We start from the raw sequence: 8,828 nt of genomic DNA, 5'->3' as shown, positions 1-8,828 counted from the left end.
AAAAAAACAAAACAAAAAAAAAAAACACAAAAAAAAAAAGGAAAGAAAAGAAATCAAGAAAACAATCCCATTTACAATAGCTACAAAAAAAATACTTAGCAATAAGTTGAACAAAGGGAGTGAAAGATCTGCACATTAAAAATTATAAAACATTGATGAAAGAAATTGAAGACGACACTAATAAATGAAATGATATCCCATGTTCATGGATTGGAAGAATTAATATTGTTGAAATGTTTATTCTACCCAAAGTGAACTACAGGTTCACTACAATTTCTATCAAAATTCCAAGGACATTTTCCACAGAAATAGAAAAACAGTCTTAAAATTTCTATGGAACCACAAAAGATCCCAAATAGCCTAAGCAATCTTGAGTAAGAAGAACAAAGCAGGAGACTTTACACTACCTGATTTCAAAATGTAGCACAAAGCTATAGTAATCAAAACAGCATCGTACTGGCATAAAGAGAGTCATATAGACCAATGAAACAGAATAGAGATCCCAGAGATAAATATATACGTTCATAGGCCAAGCAACCTTGAGAAAGTTACCTTGAACATACATGGTGAAAGGATACTCTTTCCAATAAATAGTGTTGGGAAAACTGGATATCCAATGCAGAAGAATGAAATTGGGTCCTTATCTCATACCACATAAAAATAAACCCGAAATTGATTAAGGACTTACATGTAAAAGCTGAAACTATAAAACCACTGGCAGAAAACCCAAAGGGTGATTTATTGATGTTGGTCTTGGCAATGAATGTTTGGAATATGACCCCAAAAGTACAGGCAACAAAAGCAAAAAAAGACAAATGAATGACATAAAACAAAAAGCTTTTGCACAGCAAAGGAAATTATCAAAGGAATGGAGACAACCTACAGAAGGAGAGAAAATATTTGCAAACCATACATCTAATAAGGGGTTAGTATCTAAAATATAAAAAGAACTCAAACAATTCAATAGCAAGGAAACAAATAATTTAATTTAAAAATGAGCAAAGTATCTGAGTAGACATTTCTCAAAAGAAGACATTTCAATGGCCAATAGGTATATGAAAAAGTGTTCAATATTACTAATAATGAAGGAAATATTAATTAAAAGTACAAAGAGGTATCATCTCATCTCATACTCATGCAGCTATTACTAAAAAGACAAAAGATAAGTGTTGGCAAGGATGTGGAGAAAAGGGAGTATCTGCACACTGTTGGTGGGAACTTAAATTAGTGCAGCCATTAGAGAAAACAATATGGCAGTTCCTCAAAAAATTAAAAATATGCCAGGCTAAGTGATTCACACCTGTAATCCCAGCACTTTCGGAAGCTAAGGCAGGGAGACCACTTGAAGCCAGGAATCTGAGACCAGCCTGGGCAACACAACAAGACCTTATCTCTACAAAACATTTTTAAAAATTACCTGGGCATGGTGGCATGAGCCTGTGTTCCCAGCTGCTCTGTAGGCTGAGGCGGGAGGATCACTTGGGCTCACGAGGTTGAGGCTGCAGTGATCTAGGATGCCACCACTGCACTCTAGCCTGGGCAACAGAGTGAAATCTAATTTCTAAAAAAAATTAAAAATAAACATAGCTATCATATGATGCAGCAATCCTATTTCTGGGTATATGTCTGAAAGATATGAAATCAGTAGATCAATGAAGTATCTACAATCTCATGTTTGTTGTAGTATTATTAATAATTGCCAAGATATGGAATTAACCAAAACTGTCCATTGATGCATGTGTGATTAAAGAAAGTAAGACACACACACACACACACACACACACACACACGGGAATACTATTCAGACTTAGAAAAGAAGAAAATTCTGTCATCTGCAACAAGGTGGATGAACCTGGAGGACATTATGCTAAGTGAAATAAGCCAGCCACAGAAGGACAACTACTACATGATTCCACTTATATGTGGAATCTAAAAAAGTCGAATTCATAGAAGCAAAGAAAGAATGCCAGGGGCTGGATGGTGGGCAGAGGTCGGAACATGGGGAAATGTTGGTCAAATGGTAAAAAGTTTCAGTTAGACAAAATGAATAAGTTCTGGAGATCTATTGTACAGCATGGCAACTACAAGGAATAACAATGTATTGTATATTTAAAAATTCCCAAGAGAGTAGAACTCAATTGTTCTTATCACAAAACATACCTATGTGAGGTGACAGATACATTAATTAGCTGAGTTTAATCATTCCACAATGTATAAATGTATCAAAACATCATGTTGTACACTGTGAATATATACAATTTTATTTGTCAATCATACCTCAGTAAGGCTAGAGTGAAATGGAGGAAAACACCATGGGCAACCACTGACTAGAATCAGAACCACAGGGAATAGTCCCCACCCCTGGGTAACAGTGCCTCAGAGTGTCTGCCCAACAGCATTTCAAAATTTCTAGGGACCAGGGACTATTCTGTGCCTCCCATTCTTCCCCTTCCCAAATGAGAGGTGATTTTTTTTTTTTTGAGACAGGGTCTCACTCTGTCGCCCAGGCTGGATTGCCATTGTGCAATAGCCATCCCACCTCAGCTTCCTGAGTAGCTGCGATCACAGGCATACACAACCATGCCTGATACTTTTTGTAATTTTTTTTTAGAGATGAGGTTTCACCATGTTGCCCAGGCTGGTCTCAACCTCCCATACTCAAGGGATCCATCTGCCTTGGCCTCCCAAAGTGCTGAGATTATAGGCATAAGCCATCACTCCTGGCCTATCAAATGAGAGGATTATTAAATGTTATTCTGTTACTATTTATTTCACTGTTGTATAATGTGTGTGTATGTGTGATAACTTGTATTTTTAATTCAAATATCTCCAAAGGAGTCATACCCAGGCCTGATATAAAGACCATCACATGATCTGGATTTTGTCTATGATGGGGCATTGCATTGGAATGGAATTTTTGTTATTTCTCTAAGGAAGGAAAGGTATATAAAAGGAATAAAAGTGAATATTTGTGAGCAAATATTTTTGATAGGTTTTTTTTTTCTTAAGAGACATGTTGCCCAGGCTGGACTTAAACTCTTGGGCTCAAGCAATCCTCCTGACTCAGTCTTCTGAGTAGCTGGGACTATAGGCAGAGGCCACCATGCCTGGCTGACTGTATTCCTTTCCAAAACATTTTCTTACACTCTTAGGATTACACTTGCTACTCCATTGTAATCAAGCTGGGCCATGTGCTTTGTTTTGGCCAAATATAAATGTGAGTAGAAATGATGTGTGCTACCCTGAACAAGAGCTTTCAGAGCCACCATTTAGATCCTCCATACACTTGTTTCTTTCTGCCTCAAGACTGACAATGTCTCAGACAGGGACCTTCTGTCAGCCTGGATCCCCACATGAGGAGGAATGTAGCCTTGCTCAGGGGCCAGTTGTGAACTTTCTGGGAAGGGATTGTGACCCCAGGCAAGGTGGCTCTGCAGCTGAGGCAGACTTCAAAGGAGCTGACATTTGCAGGCTGTTTGCTGAGTGCCCTCTCCATATCTGGGCAGCAAGTCCTTTATTAAAAGGGGATCTAGGGAGTGCATCTCCACATCTATCACATCCCACCCTCCTACAGCCTTTTATTTTCTTTTGCATAAGGCTGTAAATACCTCATTCCCCAAAATGTACTTCTTAGCTATTTCCCTGTTCAAGGCATTGATCACATTTACAATGTATGTGATTTGGTTCTGAACACCAGGATGAGGTTCTCCTTGTTTTTTGGGGAATCTATATGACCAACAACCCCACAGCACCTATGTTTCCTCTTTCTCTTACTTCTAGATTGGACACAAGGGGCAATGGAGGGAGGGTCAAGATATTTGTTTAATTTATTCTACTTTATAGCAGAAAAATTTATTTATTTGAAATTGGAATGTATCTAAATTCTCCAGGTATCAGTGTCACTGAGATTTTTAGTACCCACTAATATTGTCTGAGCTCTTATTATGTGTAAATAGACAAAGGTTTTTGTTTTTTAAACCTAGCTTCTTTCTATTGAGATTTCTGAGAATTCCAGGAATGCTTCCATGTTCCACAGATCTGTCCTGGTAGTCTCCGGCCACTTCTTGCAATAAAATGCTGTACCAAGGCCTCTGATAGTTTCTAGTTGGCTTGACATAATGGCTTTTCTAAGCTTCTGTTCCTCTATGCTCCTCTGTATCCCAAGCATGGAAAGAAGTCATATCTTTTGTTTCACACATTAGCAGTCAACACTTGGCCCTACTTTCAACAAGGCTAAGTAAAACTTTGAGCATAGCAAAAGGCAAATACTTAAATTATAATATTAGCAGGAGGAGGCTGAGGTGGGAGGATCATATGAGGCCAGCCTGGGCAACATAGATACCCCCTCTCCAGAAGACAACAACGAAAAATTATCTGGGTGTGGTGGTGTGCTCTTGCAGTCCTAGATACTCCAGTGGCTGAGGCAAGAGGATCGCTTGATTCCAGGAGTTCAAGGTTGTAGTGAGCAATAATCATGTCACTGCATCCTAGCCTGGGCAATAGAGTAAGACCCTATCTCTAACAAAATAATAATAAAACAATCAAAAGTTTAAAATTAGGTATTGGATGTCAGTGTGCCCAGAGTCCTTTGACCACAGATGATCCTGATGGCCTTCTCTCGCCTTGTCCCTGTGCCTCCTTCTACCATTTTTCTTCCTGAGATATTCGAAAATAAGTAGCAGACAGGTTCCCATTTACCTCTAAATACTTCAGTGGGTATTTCCTAAAAGGACATTTATAGTACCATCATCAAAATCAGTAAATTAACATTGATACTATTATCTAATCTACAGACTTTATTGAATTTTATCAGTTGTGCCACAAATGTCTTATGGCAAATGAGAAATAATTCTGGTCTAGGATTTGATCTAAGATCGTGCATTGTATTGAGCTTTCATTTCTTTTAAGTCTTATTTAATCTGGAAATGTTAATCAGTGTTTGTCATATCTTTGACACTATTGAAGAGGATTGGCCTATTATTTTGCAGAGTATCTATGATTTTGGGTCATTCCATGTGTTCTCATGATTAGATGCAGGTTATGCATTTTTGGCATGAATACCATAGAAGGGATGTTATGGTTCTCAGTTCATGGTATTAGAAGGCACTTGATAGTGATTAGTTCCATTCCTGATGATGTTAACTCTGATCATTTGGATAAAGTGACATCTGCCAGGTTTCCCCACTGTGCAGTTACAATTTGCTTTTTGCGATTAATAAATTCCTTTTTTATTCTCATTTAAGAATGAGTTTCTTTAACACCTTGAAAAAATCACACTGGCTCACCAGCAATGGACCCAAACCAAGAAGTAATACCTGATGTATCTGAAAAAGAATTCAGGAGGTTAGTTATTAAGCTAATCAGGGAGGCATCAGAAAAAGGCAAAGCCCAATGCAAGGAAATCCAGAAAATAATACAAGAAGCGAAGGGAGAAATATTTAAGGAAATAACGTAAATAAAAAACAATAAAAACTTCAGGAAACAATGTTCCTGAAACACTTCTAGAAATGCAAAATGCTTTGGAAACTCTCAACAATAGAATTGAACAAGCGGAAGAAAGAAATTCAGAGCTTGAATACAAGGTCTTTGAATTAACCCAATCCAACAAAGACAAAAAAAGAAAATATGAACAAAGCCTCCAAGAAGTCTAGGATTATGTTAAGTGACCAAACCTAAGAAAAATTGGTGTTCCTGAGGAAAAAGAGAAATCTGAAAGTTTAGAAAACATATTTGGGGGAATAATCAAGAAAAACTTCCTGACCATGCTAGAGACCTAGACATCCAAATACAAGAAGCACAAAGAACACCTGGGAAATTCATCACAGAAAGATCATTGCCTAGGGACACTGTCATCAGGTTATTGTTATCTAAAGTTAAGACTAAGGAAAGAAACTTAAGAACTGTGAGGCAAAAGCACCAGGTAACTATAAAGGAAAACCTATCAGATTAACAGCAAATTTCTCAGCAGAAACTCTACAAGCTAGAAGGGATTGGGGCCCTATCTTCAACTTCCTTGAACAAAACAATTATTACCCAAGAATTTTGTATCCAGTGAAACTAAGCTTCATCAATGAAGGAAAGACAGTCTTTTTCAGACCAATGCTGAGAGAATTCACCACTACCAAGCCACCACCACAAGAACTGCAAAAAAAGAGCTTTAAATCTTGAAACAAATCCTAGAAACACATCAAAAGAGAACCTCTTTAAAGTATAAATCTCACAGGACCTATAAAACAATCAATTTAAAAAGCAAAAAACAAAAAACAAAGGTATACAGGCAACAAATAGCACGATGAATGGAATGATACCTCACATCTCCATGCTAACATTGAATGTAAATAGCCTAAATGCTCCCCTTAAAAGATACAGAACTGAAGGATAGATAAGAACTCACCAACCAACCATCTGCTGCCTTTGGGAGACTCACCTAGCACATAAGGACTCACAAAAACTTAAGGTAAAAAGATGGAAAAAGACATTTCACATGAACGGACACCAAAAGTGAGCAGGAATAGCTATTCTTATATCAGACAAAACAAACTTTAAAGCAACAGCAGTTAAAAAAGACAAACATGGGGGTGGCTGGCAAGATGGCCGAACAGGAACAGCTCTGGTCTGCAGCTCCCAGGGAGTTCAATGCAGAAGGCGGGTGTTTTCTGCATTTCCAAAGGATGTACCTGGCTCATCTCACTGGGACTGGTTAGACAATGTGTGCAGCCCATGGAGGGCAAGCAGAAGCAGGGTGGGGTGTTGCCTCACCGGGGAAGTACAAGGGGTTGAGGAACTCCCTCCCCTAGCCAAGGAAGCCGTGAGGGATTGTGTCGTGAGGAATGGTGCACTCTGGCCCTGATACTACACTTTTCCCAAGGTCTTCACAACCCGCAGATCAAAAGATTCCCTTGGGGGCCTATGCCACCAGGGCCCTGGATTTCAAGCACAAAACTGGGCGGCCGTTTGGGCAGACATTGAGCTAGCTGCAGGAATTTTTTTCGTACCCCAGTGGTGCCTGAAATGCCAGCTAGAGAGAACCATACGCTCCCCTGGAAATGGGGCTGAAGCCAGGGAGCCAAGTGGTCTAGCTCAGCGGATCCCACCCCCACAGAGCCCAGCAAGCTAAGATCCACTGCCTTAAAATTCTTGCTGCTAGCACAGCAGTCTGAAGTCCACCTGGGATGCTACAGCTTGGTGGGGGGAGGGGCATCCACCATTACTGAGGCTTGGTAGGTGGTGTTCCCCTCACAGCGTAAACAAAGCTGCCTGGAAGCTCGAACTGGGCAGAGTCAACTGCAGCTCAGCAAAGCCACTGTAGCCAGACTGCCTCTCTAGATTCCTCCTCTCTGGGCAGGACATCTCTGAAAGAAAGGCAGCAGCTCCAGTCAGGGGCTTATAGATAAAACTCCCATCTCCCTTGGACAGAGCACCTGGGTGAAGGGGCAGCTGTGGGCAGCTTCAACAGACTTAAACGTTCCTGCCTGCCAGCTCTGAAAAGAGCAGCAGATCTCCCAGCAAAGCACTCAAGTTCTTCCAAGGGACAGACTGCCTCCTCAAGTGGGTCCCTGACCACCCTCCCCACCATGCCTCCTAACTGGGAGACACCTCCCAGCAGGGGTTGTCAGATACTTCATACAGGAGAGCTCCAGCTGGAATCTGGCAGGTGCCCCTCTGGGACAAAGCTTCCAGAGGAAGGAACGGGCAGCAATCTTTGCTGTTCTGCAGCCTCCGCTGGTGATACCCAGGGAAACAGGGTCTAGAGTGGACCTCCAGCAAACTCCAGCAGACCTGCAGCAGAGGGGCCTGACTGTTAGAAGGAAAACTAACAAACAGAAAGGAAAAGCATCAACATCAACAAAAAGGACGTCCACACAGAAACCCCACTGGAAGGCCAAAGCTAGATATATCCACAAAGATGAGGAAAAATCAGCGCAAAAAGGCTGAAAATTCCCAAAACCGGAATTCCTCTTCTCCTTCAAAGGATCACAAGTACTCGCCAGCAAGGAAACAAAACTGAACGGAGAATGAGTTTGACAAATAGACACAAGCAGGCTTCAGAAGGTGGGTAATAACAAACTCCTCCGAGCTAAAGGAGCATGTTCCAACCCAATTCAAGGAAGCTAAGAACCTTGAAAAAAATGCTAGAGGAATTGCTAACTAGAATAACCAGTGTAGAGAAGAACATAAATGACCTGATGTAGCTGAAAAACACAGCATGAGAACTTTGTGAAACATACACAAATATTGATAGCCAAACTGATCAAGCAGAAGAAAGGATACGAGAGATTGAAGATCAACTTAATGAAATAAAGCATGAAGACAAGATTAGAGAAAAAAGAATAAAAAGGAATGAACAAAGCCTCCAAGAAATATGGGACGATGTGAAAAGGCCAAACCTACATTTGATTGGTGTACCTGAAACTGACAGGGAGAATGGAACCAAGTTGGAAAACACACTTCAGGTTATTATCCAGGAGGACTTCCCCAACCTAACAAGACAGGCCAACATTCAAATTCAGGAAATAGTACACCACAAAGATGCTCCTTGAGAAGAGCAACCCTAAGACACATAATTATCAGATCCCCCAAGGTGGAAATGAAGAAAAAAATGTTAAGGGCAGCCAGAGAGAAAGGTCGGGTTACCCACAAAGGGAAGCCCATCAGACTAACAGTGAATCTCTCTGCAGAAATCCTACAAGTCAGAAGAGAGTGGGCGCCAATATTCAACATTCTTAAAGCAAAGAATTTTCAACCCAGAATTTCATATTCAGCCAAACTAAGTTTCATAAGCAAAGGAGAAATAAAATCCTTTACAGACAAGCAAATGCTGAGAGATT

General features: G+C 40.4%; 2 annotated features.

The window, feature by feature from the left end:
• Positions 6,505–7,004: an enhancer, noted in NCBI's record as "H3K4me1 hESC enhancer chr17:33660981-33661480 (GRCh37/hg19 assembly coordinates)". NCBI's record gives its function as "activates a minimal SCP1, AML or CMV promoter by ChIP-STARR-seq in naive H9 embryonic stem cells {active_cell/tissue: H9 hESC(naive)}" and the evidence as "EXISTENCE:reporter gene assay evidence [ECO:0000049][PMID:30033119]".
• Positions 7,005–7,506: an enhancer, noted in NCBI's record as "H3K4me1 hESC enhancer chr17:33660479-33660980 (GRCh37/hg19 assembly coordinates)". NCBI's record gives its function as "activates a minimal SCP1, AML or CMV promoter by ChIP-STARR-seq in naive H9 embryonic stem cells {active_cell/tissue: H9 hESC(naive)}" and the evidence as "EXISTENCE:reporter gene assay evidence [ECO:0000049][PMID:30033119]".

Source organism: Homo sapiens, chromosome 17, assembly GCF_000001405.40.
Source record: "Homo sapiens chromosome 17, GRCh38.p14 Primary Assembly".
NCBI lineage: Eukaryota > Metazoa > Chordata > Mammalia > Primates > Hominidae > Homo > Homo sapiens.
Note: the sequence above shows the minus strand (reverse complement) of the source record. Positions and strands in the feature narration are given on the sequence as shown.